This window comes from Homo sapiens, chromosome 10 (genome assembly GCF_000001405.40).
Source record: "Homo sapiens chromosome 10, GRCh38.p14 Primary Assembly".
In the NCBI taxonomy this organism is placed as follows: domain Eukaryota; kingdom Metazoa; phylum Chordata; class Mammalia; order Primates; family Hominidae; genus Homo; species Homo sapiens.
Window position 1 is genome coordinate 112,158,067 of NC_000010.11, and position 12,696 is coordinate 112,170,762.

The following is a 12,696-nucleotide window of genomic DNA, read 5'->3' on the forward strand; positions in this document are numbered from 1 at the left end:
ATTACAGGTGTGTGCCACCATGCCCAGCTAATTTTTGTATTTTTAGGAAAGACAGGGTTGTGCCATGTTGGCCAGGCTGCTCTCGTACTCCTGACCTCAGGTGATCCACCCGCCTTCACCTCCCAAAGTGCTGGGATTACAGGCACATGCCACCATGCCTGGCCAATTATTGGTTTAAATAAGTTGTAGAAAAGGTAAGGGAATGAAGAGTAAGTATAAAGACAAATAAAGGAAAGCTCTACCTCTTACCTCTGCCACTGTAAGAATGCCATACTGGATAAACTTTCCTACTGTTTCATGGCAGACTTGGTAAAATGTCTGGCAAGGCTGAAAAGAAAATTCATTTAAATATAAATGCCACCATTTTATACTTCTTTTTTTAAACGCAGAAAACATGGTACAAGGTAGCTGCCAAAGCCTTCCATTCTGTTACCTCCATCACCCCACTGAGCAAGTCCTGTGATTCCCAGTGCCCACTGTCTTGATACACACACGGTCATGGACAAAGCCCAAGAAAAGACCTCTGTCACTTAAAGTTGGCAGAGCACCCAACACTGCACCACCTGCAAGGGGTACTCCTGAGCTCAATTCTCTCCCCACACCCACAGTGTGGAAAGCCCTCTGAAGACTGCTTATCAGCCCCCCACCATCTATTTCTTTTACTTTATAAGACAATTTCTCTGCAATAGTTATCTTATAATAAATACTGTACACAAAAGTGGTGATTGAGGAAAGGCAACATTGGAATAAGTAAATAAATACCAGAGAAAGGACAAGGTCAATCTTGGAAGTCTTATCTGCCCTCATCCCTTCCATCCCACCACCCAAGGTTCATGCAAAACAGATTCCCCAACAGGACCACGAGCACACCTCACACAAAGCATGGCATGGAGGGGGCGGTACTCCTAACACATGCACTCATCTCGTCAACATCTCAAGACACATTCATACAAAAGAAAATATCGGAATTCAAATAAAATATGAATTCTACATGTTGATGACTTTGAGAAGAAGGAAATCTACTACTTAATACATATGTCTCATGATAAATGCCTAAAAGTGTTTGGGTATATAATATAAATGCTCATTAGTACTGCTGGGCTTGGTTTTCCTCATTTGTAAATTGAGAGGTGTTGAGCAGATGATTTTCTTTTTTTTTTTTTTTTTTTTTTGAGATGGAGTCTCGCTCTGTCACTCAGGCTGGAGAACAGTGGCGCAATCTCAGCTCACTGCATCCTCCGCCTCCCAGGTTCAAGTGATCCTCCTGCCTCAGCCTCCAAAGTAGCTGGGACTACAGGCAGGTGCTACTACACCTGGCTAATTTTTTTTTGTATTTTTAGTAGAGACGGGGTTTCTCCACGTTAGCCAGGATGGTCTCGATCTCCTGACCTCGTGATCTGCCCGCCTCAGCCTCCCAAAGTGCTGAGATTACAGGCGTGAGCCACCGCACCTGGCCGAGCAGATGATTTTTAAGGCTGCTTCTGACTCTTACCATCTGTGGTTCCATCATCTACAGGTGGGTGTGTTAATTATTTACAAACCACTGACCCAGTGCCTCACACACAATACGTGCTCACTAGCTTTGGATGTGACTGCCTGAGAACATTGAGCAATCTGTCCTATCATGGCTCATAGCTGCAGGATAGATTCAGTGGAGCAGTGACCCAGAGAGCAAACCAAGATAGTAAATGACATATTGGTTTGGTGGTCACTGAAATCCAGGAGTGGAATATAAAGTATCAACAATGGGTCAAACATTATCTAACAGAAAAACACGGGGGGTTACGTTTTCATGAAAACGCTCAAGAAAAGAGACCAGGCAACACTGAAGGGTCTTCACTCACCAGTGAGATGGTGCCTTCATTGGAGAGAAGGTAGCACAGGCTGGCCGCCTTCCGCACCAGCTGCTCCTGGCTGATCAGGTTAGGTGGGGTGCTAGTGGGACCCCCCAGTCCCCTCTTGTTCAGAACTGCATAAAGGCTGCAAGCTAAGAAAAGAAAAGCAACAATGAAGTTGCCAGCTCAAAGTCTCCAAGAAAAACTTCAACTGGCTTGAATAACCTTAAGAGATTATTAATACATCAAAAATAATGGCCTGTATTTGGAGAAATTTAAGTAAATCCCATAAGACTAAATTCTTATGATTCCATATGATCCCAACTGCATCAAAAACCTTCTCCAAAGACATAAGCCCCCTCTTCTCTCCTTCCTCTCTTTTCTCTTAATCACAAATGAGGCCCTCCACTCACTTTGCTGCTCTGTGTATGTCTCATCTCAGTTAGATTTTCAGCTCCTGGATAGCAAGACACTCTACCTCTCCTGAAAAATAAGGGTAATGCTATACAAACGGTAATTCAGTAACTACTCATTGTAAACAGTGATATAACAGGAGATTACATTTTCGTTTGAAAACTAAAATTATAGCCACATTCCCTCAAGCAAGGGGCTATCACCCAAATTAAAGCAGATACCACTATGTGTTTTAGGCCTTTTTATTTTCCATGAAAATTACTGAAAATATTTCAAGGTCTGACATACCTATGATGGCCTCCATGATAAAGACATGAAGTACCCCATTGCTGTAGAAGTTGAGTTCGAAGACTGATGGGACAGTTGTGCTGGGGGTGATAAAAAACTCATCGTTCCTGCTAGTGTGGGTGATTGTGACACAATTTCCCAGCAGCTGTATGGCATGCATTACTACATCTTCTGAATTTCCTGAGAACCCCAGGTCAAAATCACGAGCCAGGACTTCCTCTTTCATCACAAAGAAGTCTTCGACCAATGTGGAGAGATCAATTCCCTAAAGAAAGATGGAAACGGTATCATGATGGTGGAAAACCTACTTTCCAAAAAGCTGAGAGGCCAACATTCCAAGACTTTCTTCTTGCCTTGGCTTTCCTGCAGCTCACTGCTAGCACATAGAGAAGTAGGGCCAGAACACCAATGCAGAGCGAGTCAGAAAACTACTTAAAAAGCTGGTCCTCCAGGAATGTCAAGGTATTACACATGCTAGTGAACACTCTAGCCATGACACATGATATGCACACATAAGATCACAAGGGGGAGGAAAAAAGCCATCTGCAAGTAAGGAGTGCTTATTTTTTAGCAAAATTTCCTTCATTTTAAATATTTATCTGGCAAATATTTATTTGGTGCCTATATATATTGGCACTGTTTGGTGTTGAGAATATGACTGAACAAGACTGGTGTGGTCTCTTCCATCATAAAGCTCAGACAAATGTATTTTGGGAGGATAAAGGGTGGGTTCTAAAATGCCAGTCAATTCATTTGGAAAGCATTTGCTTTCAGAATATATACCACATGTTAATGAGTTAGACCTTATTTACATTAACAGTATTAATCAAGCAATAGCTTAGTACTATATATATTAAGCAGTCTGTTTTGTTTTGTTTTTAAATGTAGATTCTTCCTCCACCAAGTTGATAAGCTCCTTTGGGCAGGGTCCTCAGCTTATTTTACTGTTTACCTCATAGTACTAGCCATGAGTGGGCCAAATCTGCCCCTGAGTATGTATCTGAGCAGCTGACAAAACATTCTCCTGCTTCCTACTTAACTGCAGGTGACATTGCAGACATACCTGCCTGTGTCTGTAGAGGAGCAGGCAAGCCACAATGTGTGTGGACATAATGGCACAGGACTTGCTAGCAGCTGGAAGGCAAACACAAAGCTTTTTTTAGTTGCACTTTTTACAAACATAGCTGAACTTTTTTGAAATACCTAAATTTTAAACAGGAGTATTTAAAACTGTGAAAGTCTTCTATCACATTTCCCATAAGTGTGATTTACCAAAAGGAAGTTATAATACTACAGTGTTCTGGTATAATGGAACCTCATTAGAGATCACTATTCATCATACAACAGGCTAAGTAAGACAGGTCCAACTTCAATCCAGGCCAGTGGAATTTAGTTACTGAATGACGAAGAGACACTTTTATTGAAATATCAAGACCCAAAGTACAAGGCTGTTTTAGTTCTACGGGATCTCCCATTTCCATATTCCTTTACTTGCTCCCACCTACAGTCTATTATAACTACAACTCTACTTCACTCTTCTTGCTGGTATTCACCATATTAAAACGAAGGTGTAGTAGAAGGATAACAGCTGACTTGAAGTCAGAAAAATCTGGGCTCAAATCCTAATTTACTCACTAACTAACTTCATGACTTGGGGCAAATTACTTAAATTCCTGGCCTCACCTTCCTTGCTGATAAAATGAAAATCCTACCTAGCTCATTAGACCACATGAGAATAAAATGACTGGCCCGGCACAGGAGCCACAGTAATGGGTGCTCAGCATATTTGTATTTCCTCTTTCAACCTGACCCAGAGGTAAGAAGGAAGGGCACAGACACACATTTGAGAATGACTACAGTGCACACCCCTACACTGAATTTGCATAAAATTATAATTATATAAATCAAATCTGAGAACACCCATGGAATAATCTTAAATCACGATAACATTTGTGAGTTTTCTAAGATAACAATAAATTTAAGAATACTTCATTCACCACTGGTAACTGAAGTCGTCTCCAGTGTTAAAAAAAAGTACTCAGTACTATATGTATAGCTATTAAAAATATTTATAAAGAATTTTTAAATATGAATATTGTGTTATAAATGGAAAGCTGCACAATACAAAACTGTAAAAAATATTTTTAGAGACTACACAGCAACACCACTGGTTATTTGGGTAATGGGTTTTTGCTGTCTATTTCATCTTTATTTTCAAACTTTTTAACAATAAGGTATTATTTTTTGTATCCAGATTTTAAGCAGGATAGAGACATAATCAAATGTGCTTGAGAAAGAATCCTCTGACCCAAAGTCAAGCAGGAATAGGGGCCTCCAGAATGGGAGGAGCAAGGTGAGGGAGGAAGACCTCCCCAGTAGCATTGGCAGGGGGTGCGGAGAGTATCATCAGGGTCCTGGCCCAGAGAGCAGCAAGAAAGAAATCACAACTAGGCTGAGCACCAAAGAACCACTGTGCTGCCTTGGGATTTTAAAGCAGCCTCCACAACAGTACACAATTGTACAGCTTGGAACTTAAAGAAGACTGGTCCTGCAGTGAACTCACACTCCTCTCCTCTCTAGGTTCACTTTAATTATTTGTGTATAACCATCCCACTGACAAGAACATAAGCTCATTGAGTTCAGAACCATTAATTATTCATTTTGTATTCTCCACGGCTAAGGCAAAGCTTTATACAAGGCCACTCATATTTGCTGCATTACAAAAACTCATGGGGTCAAAGGAGAAATGGACATGCAACTATAAATCTAGACGTTGTACCACAAATTAGTTCAAGTAGTTCAAATAAAACACATTAATGAGCAACAGAGGCAACAAATCATTTTAATAATAACTATTTTTAAAAAGTACAACAACTACCACATGAACACCTACTAATTACCAGACACTGTATAAGATGTTTAACTCCAATTATCTCAAATCCTCACGGTATCACCTTCTTTCTAATAACTTACCTATCACCACCTGTGAATTAATAGAAGTGGAAACTAACCTCAGCAGATTCCAAAATCTGTATAGTTTGCACCATACCATGATGAATCTAAATTGTAGAATTAAAGAGTCTGGTATTCTACTTACTGAATAGAATATGCTCAGCCAGATTTGCAATCAACCTCCTTCGTAGGGATTCATCTGTTGCATTTCTGGACTCATTAATGGACGTGTCTCTACCTTCATCAGCAGCATCACTGGGTCTAAAAAGTGTTTCAAAAATCAACACACAACCGCACTCTTTTACAAGGCAAACCATGTGGAACTGATCTTTAAATGAATTAGATACTTTAAATTACTATATATTTTAAATTTAAACCACAAACAGATTATTTCTATGGCTTATTTTCCTCCATAATATACTACATTATGGCCTGGCCAAAACATGTTATTTAGTTATGACTAAATAGTCTGTTGATACACCACTTCCAAAACCACTGGCAGAAAGAATACATAATTCAAGATGCCTTATTTTAAAACATTTCTGAAAATTCAACACTTCCACATATTAAAGGAAAGGCTTCATATTCAATTTCTCTAAGTTAAAATTCAATTTGAATTCAATTTGAATTCCGAAAAATTCAAACAGCAAAATTCTTTCATATGGTTCACTTACATACAATATGCATAACCTACTACCAAAAAAACTCAGTTCAAGCATTCAAAAAGCATAAATCAATTAAGAACTCCTATATGAGTCACAAAATCAAAAAGTTATAAGCAAATAATTAAAAACTTCCAAACTAATATGAAAACATGTCATCTCAATATCCCTTATTGGACTAAGAGAAAAGTTACTTAAGAAGTGAAAATAAGAATGTGCGCATTTTTAATAAGGTTAATCTATGCAATACAAGAAATAACAGATGTTTGGTAGCTTGATTAGCATTAAACAATTCTACAAATTTTACCTTGAAGGAAGTATAGCTGGTAACAACGCTTGCTCCAGGGAAAGTAGAGCAGACACCGGTTTCTGACTTTGGCTTTCTAAATATTCCTGGAGAAAAAAACACAACATGATCATTTACCCTCACTTTCGCACCAACATATAAAATGTAATTTCATCTTCCAAAGGTTAAAAGGGAGTTGTTTATGAAATAAGCCATGCTATAGAGCATGGGAAATACTTTCTATATCCTAAACTGTCTTCAGAAGTCCAGAATGATTCACAGAATGCTGCTAAGCATGAAACTGAACTTGAACACTGAAGACACAAAGAATAGGATGCTTAAACAAAATCATTTTAAAATTAAAAGAAATTTTTAACTTTTCTCACACATCATCATAAAACTGACATTCTTAATATCATTAATAGTGATGATAGACATAATCATACTTAAAAAAATCTGGCAACCCAAGGGTCACATTATTTTCAAAAGAACCTCAATCTAAAAGCAAATCATAACAAGACAGAGAAGCTATGTGACCATTTAAAAAATAAAGAGAAAGAAAGTGGCAAGAAATGATAAGGTTCTAAAAGATCAAAGCATTTAAGGTTAGCAAGCATCTACCACAGCAGCTGGAATCTCTTAAAGTTAAGCCAGGAAGTAGAATAAAAGGAGAGGCGGGACCTTCTGCTCCTTATCCCTGGGCTCCCTACTTCTGTACCCATTTTTCTCCTTCTCCTTTACAATTTGAATACCTTAAGAATTTAAACCAGCAAGGGCCTCAGGGACCTGCCAGTCCCAGACTTTCAATGAGGATGGCACTATCCTTTGGGATGTGTGGGTACTGGATTCTACACAATAGGACATAGAGAGCATTATCCTGTCAAATTCACCCAGCTTTGGCTGCCCGAAGTGGCTCACACCTGTAATCCCAGCACTTTGGGAGGCAGATGAGGAGGCGGGCAGATCACCTGAGGTCAGAAGTTTGAGGCCAGCCTGGCCAACATGGTGAAACCCCGTCTCTACTAAAAATACAAAAATTAGCCAGGTGTGGTAGCGGGCACCTGTAATCCCAGCTACTTAGGAGGCTGACGCAGGAGAATTGCTTGAACCTAGGGGGCAGAGGTTGCAGTGAGCTGAGATTTCGCCACTGCACTCCAGCCTGGGCTACAAGAACATGAAACTCCGTCTCAAAAAAAAAGTTACCCAGCTTTTAGGGGAGGTGTTTGGAAAAATTTCCCCTAAAGGCAATTTTGAAACATAAGATATAAATACGTATTATAAAGGCACATGCAAGATTCCCATGAATTTTTATTTTTTTACAATTATTTATTCATTTATTCATTCATCCATCTCAAAATTTTTTTGACTTTTGGGGTTAATTGATATATAATACTTGTACATATTTTGGGGTACATGTGATATTTTGATATCTATATACAATGTGTAATGATAAAATCAGGGTAATTGGGATAACCATCACCTCAAACACTTAGCTTTTTGTGGGGGGTTGGGAATATTACAATTCTTCTCTTTTAGTTATTTTGAAATATACAATAAATTACTGCTAACTATAATTTCCCTACTGTACTATCAAATACTAAAACTTATTCCTTCTACCTGTTTTTTGTTCCCCTTAGATGGTCATGAATTAAAAAAAAATAATAATAGCAATAAATGTCGAGCCTGATATCTCCCAAAAACAGATACTCACTCTCCTTTGTCAATAGGCAAATTTTGTGGAAAAATTTAGGCAACACCACCTTTATCATAGTCCTCATTTTACAGGAGAGCAAACTGCAGCCCCAAGTCACACAGAGAGGTGCTGTTAAGAGTCAGCACTGGAGCCTCCTGACTCCAGGTAGATGCTTCAACATGGTTTCATTTCAACAGACACTCACCTTTAAGGAAAATGGCTGTGCAAAATCCACTCGGACACAACCATAGTTTTTTCGTAACATTCTAATAACACCTCTTGCTACACTCCACAGGCTCTCATTCTTCTTAGGTTTGCCCTAAATTCCAATAGTGAGAATAACATGGTGAGAAATAAAGCCAACACATACACAAACATTCTATTATCCACAGAATAACTTGTTTTATGGAAACTGTAAGTTCATCTTGAAGAAGAACAATGAATGAAGAAGGAAAGGAGGTAATCATTAACTGCGGCCTGTCAGAAAACGTTTAGTATTCAAAGATGTAATCATGTCATTGGGAGATGGAATTCAGTCAATGAAAAACAAAACATTTAATACTATTTCATTTAGTATCATGTTCACACAATTCACAAAAATACAATTGCAAACTAATGAAGGAAAAAATGACATAGCCTGGAAAACTTCTGTGGTTCTTAAACAAGAATAAAACATCAAAGAGGCCATTTATCTGAGGTCTGATGATCACCAGAGTCTAAATGTCTAATATTAGGCAAGTAATTGCAAATCCAGCCTTACAGTGGCCTTTGAGCTGAGTATTCATTCAGTAAATACCTAGTATCTATTACACATAAGGCACAATGACAGGACATATAACGGACACAGACTCAGATATGAACTCGTGAGACACAGTCAGGATGAGTAGGGTATACATCAAGGACAGATTCATAGAACACAAGGAGAAGAGTGTCATACAGATCATATCACTTAATTTGTAAGCCTATCACTTAATTTCTAAAGCCTCTGATTGTCAGACGTCCTTGAATTTCTGACATGTCTGGAGCCGTAAGCTTGAAATAAGTACCTCAGCCAAAATTTCCACAATAAATAAGAACAAAACTAAATTCCTCTTGAACTCTAACTGCTGACTGGAGTGGTAAGCTGGTAAAACCATTCTGATAAAGTGGTTGGCAGTACCTACTAAAGCTGAAAATACATATTTTTTAAGACCCATCAGTTCTTCTCCTAGGCACATACCCAACAAAATGAATATATATGGTCATCAAGAAAAAATATCCAAGAATGATTACAGCCAAACATTTTGTTAACAGTAGAATAAATTATGGTATACCATACACTGGAATACTACACAGCTATGAGAAGGAATAGACTACATGCAACAATGTGGATGAATCTCACAAACACCTGCTTAAGCAAAGGAAACCAGATGCGTACAGACCACATGTTATCCAATTTACGTAAGTGCAAAAATATGCAAAACTAACCCAGTCTGTAAGAAATGAAATTAATCATTACCCTTGCGGGGATGATGATAGGAGAAGCACAAGGAGGGTTTCAAAGGTCCTGGTAATATTGTTCCTTGATCTGGGTGCTAGTTGCATAGATGTATTCACTTTGTGATAATTCAAGCTACATGCCTATGATTTATATACTCTTTTGTAACTATTATACTTCAATAAAAAGGTATACTGAAAAAGTCATTGCTACCTCTCAAATTAATCTGTAGGTGTTTTTGCCAACATGACCCCACAAGTTCTTCAAGCCCAATTTAAAATATGCACATATTCATTAAGCCCTGGGGAGAACAAACCGCAGATAACCTTCCACAGCAGAGATGGCAACACGGTGGCAAGTCTTCTCCCACTTCCCAATCCCATGACCAAGGTCGGCACTGATAAATCTAACCAGGTCACTTCTGCCAAGCTCAAGAAAACACCACATAAGCACTACCAATCAAGTTAAAGATAGGGCATGAAAGCTACTCACCATGCCCATCCAATCACATTTCATACAGTGCTTTAAACATAGGGAGTACCAAAAAAAATTCTTAATTCTAAAAGCAAATGTAAATTCTAAAAGTTAAATCTAAAAGACTTGATAAGCAAAGAAAACTTTTGTGTAGGTACCCTTACCAGTTGTTCACCATTGTAGTGACCTTCGATAATGCGATCATAGGAGATTCCAACAGGTATTATCAAGATGTCTGGGATGACATTGGTAGACAGAGTATCTACCACAACTGACAAAAGTCCTGCCCGAGCACAAGAGGTTTTTCCACTCCTAGAACGTGTGCCTTCCAGGAAGATCTCCAAGAATTGCTGCTGTCGAAGTAATTCAACTATATGCTGGGATATAAGAAGAAAGTAAAACATACATTCAAGACCACTCAACTTAGAATGAGCTCAGAAAAATTAAATCTTTAAAAGCAAAACAGAAAAAACGATAACTTCACTACTGACAAAGTATCTTATTCACACTAATAAAACAGCTCCTCCAATGCTATATTTTGGTAATAACAACAACAACAACAACAACAAATTACCAAACTCAAGCAATAATCACTCCAGTTACTCAAAGAGCAGTTTTTAAAAATCTCAACTCAAAAGAGTCATTTTTCCTTCCACTGTGATAACCAACACAATGTCCCTAAGGATAATTAGAGATCACACATACCCCATGGAGCAAAGCTCTATAGAGAACATCTTTCCGTCCATCTGGTGTTTCATCGAGCCTTCGTCGTATGAAGAAGCCCCCAAGCTTATGGATCAAGGTACTATAAATTCAGAATACATGAATTATTTACAAAGAAAAATGTAAAAAGAATACTCACATTCCAAGTTAATTGAAAACATTTGCCAAGTGGATACAAGCCATATGTGCCGTTTGAGCAGCTGACAGTAAAAATGCAGGCATTTTTTTCATTTTCCATATTATCGACATGTTTCAGTCATTTACATTGTTCATCAGTCTTTGGGATATCACTGTGTATAATGAGCCTCTATTATATCTGTTCCAAGCCAAAAGGAGTTTGCATGACATATTACCCGTAAAAATGATAGTATAGATTTTAAGAGGATTATAGAACACTTCTAAATTTTAAAATCCTGCCCAGGGTCTCAAGACACTGACCCTTAGACATTCTGAAATTTGCGCATGGCATGTTTACTACAAAATGAATATGATGTTTATTACGAAAGCTCCTTGGGGGAAATTTTCTCAAATAATTATTGTTTACAGAGGATCCTTGTGAGACAAAAACAATTTTATCCAACTGAAACCAAGCATAACCATCTTTCCAAAACATGAAACAAAAATGTGCTTCATTTGCACATACACAGGCATAAAACGATTCTTTTCCTAACCCTATGTCTCTTTCTACAACACTAATTTTGATATGAAGTTGAAACTGTCTAAGTCAATCTTTCCAAACTCACAGCCTCCTATTCTTTTCAAGTAGAGTGATACTAACATAAACATTAATATATATTTTTGGTATCCTCTACAGCAGTGGTCCCAAACCCCGGGGCCACGGACCAATACCGGTCCCCGGCCTGTTAGGAACCGGGCCACACAGCAGGAGATGAGTGGCAGGCAAGCAAGCAAAGCTTCATCTATATTTACAGCCATTCCCCATCACTTGCATTACCCTCTGAGCTCCGCCTCCTGTCAGATCAGCAACAGCATTAGATTCTCATAGGATAGGAGCGCAAATCCTATTGTGAACTGCACATCTGCCCATGAGGGATCTAGGTTGTGCATTCCTTATGAGAATCTAATGCCTGATGATCTGTCACTGTCTCCTATCACCCCCAGTTGGGACCGTCTAGTGATTCTACATTATGATGAGTTGTATAATTATTTCTTTATATATTACAAAGTAATAATAATAGAAATAAAGTGCACAATAAATGTAACATGCTTGAATCATCCCAAAACCATCCTCCCCACCCCCATGGTCTGTGGAAATTGTCTTCCATGAAACTGGTCCCTGATGCCAAAAAGGTTGGGGACCACTGCTCTACAGTAAATAGAAGGAGGCCACAGTAAGGTGTTGCCAAAGCTTAGTATCACTCTTTGAGAGTAAAACTCTGCAGAATAAAATGAATGAGATGAGCCATCCACAAAAATAACACCTGAGAAGTGGTTTGTGAATGGGTAGACTGTCATGTAACAAAAGAAAGCTGCACAAAAACAGGCTGGGCTAACTACAGCCTGCTGTGTCTGAAGGACAGGTGAGCTACACAGTCACTGGCATAGAGTCCATGAAAGGGAAGTTGGATTACAAAAAATTATCAGTGTTTATTAAGCAGTTCCAAGAAATCCTAATTGAGAACCAAATGTGAAGGAAATGGGTATAGGAAATATTCTAATTACAAGAGAAGCAAGGCTTCTCTAGAGCCCCAGTGGAATAGTCCTCTTCCCTCTAAGTCTGTGCCCACCAGAAACTTCCTGATGACTTTCTAATTCAGTTTCCCGGTTCCTTGTTCCTGGAGAGAGGTCCCCTGGAGAGCAAACACAGATATTCTAATTCCTGGAAAAGCACATCTACCCTGTAGAATCATATCACACGCTATTACAGCTAG

The 12,696-nt window shown here is 38.6% G+C and overlaps 1 protein-coding gene across 5 annotated transcripts in view; it reads right to left on the reverse strand.

Moving 5' to 3' along the window:
• GPAM (glycerol-3-phosphate acyltransferase, mitochondrial) overlaps positions 1 to 12,696 on the reverse strand; it is a 77,813-nt gene that overhangs the window by 8,202 nt on the left and 56,915 nt on the right. For all 5 annotated transcript variants that reach the window (XM_047425564.1, XM_005269998.2, XM_024448089.2 and 2 more), the window contains 9 exons: positions 10,787 to 10,886; positions 10,246 to 10,458; positions 8,336 to 8,449; positions 6,459 to 6,544; positions 5,635 to 5,750; positions 3,601 to 3,671; positions 2,538 to 2,802; positions 1,845 to 1,987; positions 250 to 327 (listed from right to left, as the gene is read on the reverse strand). In XM_047425564.1, coding sequence (XP_047281520.1) covers positions 250 to 327; positions 1,845 to 1,987; positions 2,538 to 2,802; positions 3,601 to 3,671; positions 5,635 to 5,750; positions 6,459 to 6,544; positions 8,336 to 8,449; positions 10,246 to 10,458; positions 10,787 to 10,886 — 1,186 coding nt within the window. The remainder of the gene's footprint in view (positions 1 to 249; positions 328 to 1,844; positions 1,988 to 2,537; positions 2,803 to 3,600; positions 3,672 to 5,634; positions 5,751 to 6,458; positions 6,545 to 8,335; positions 8,450 to 10,245; positions 10,459 to 10,786; positions 10,887 to 12,696) is intronic.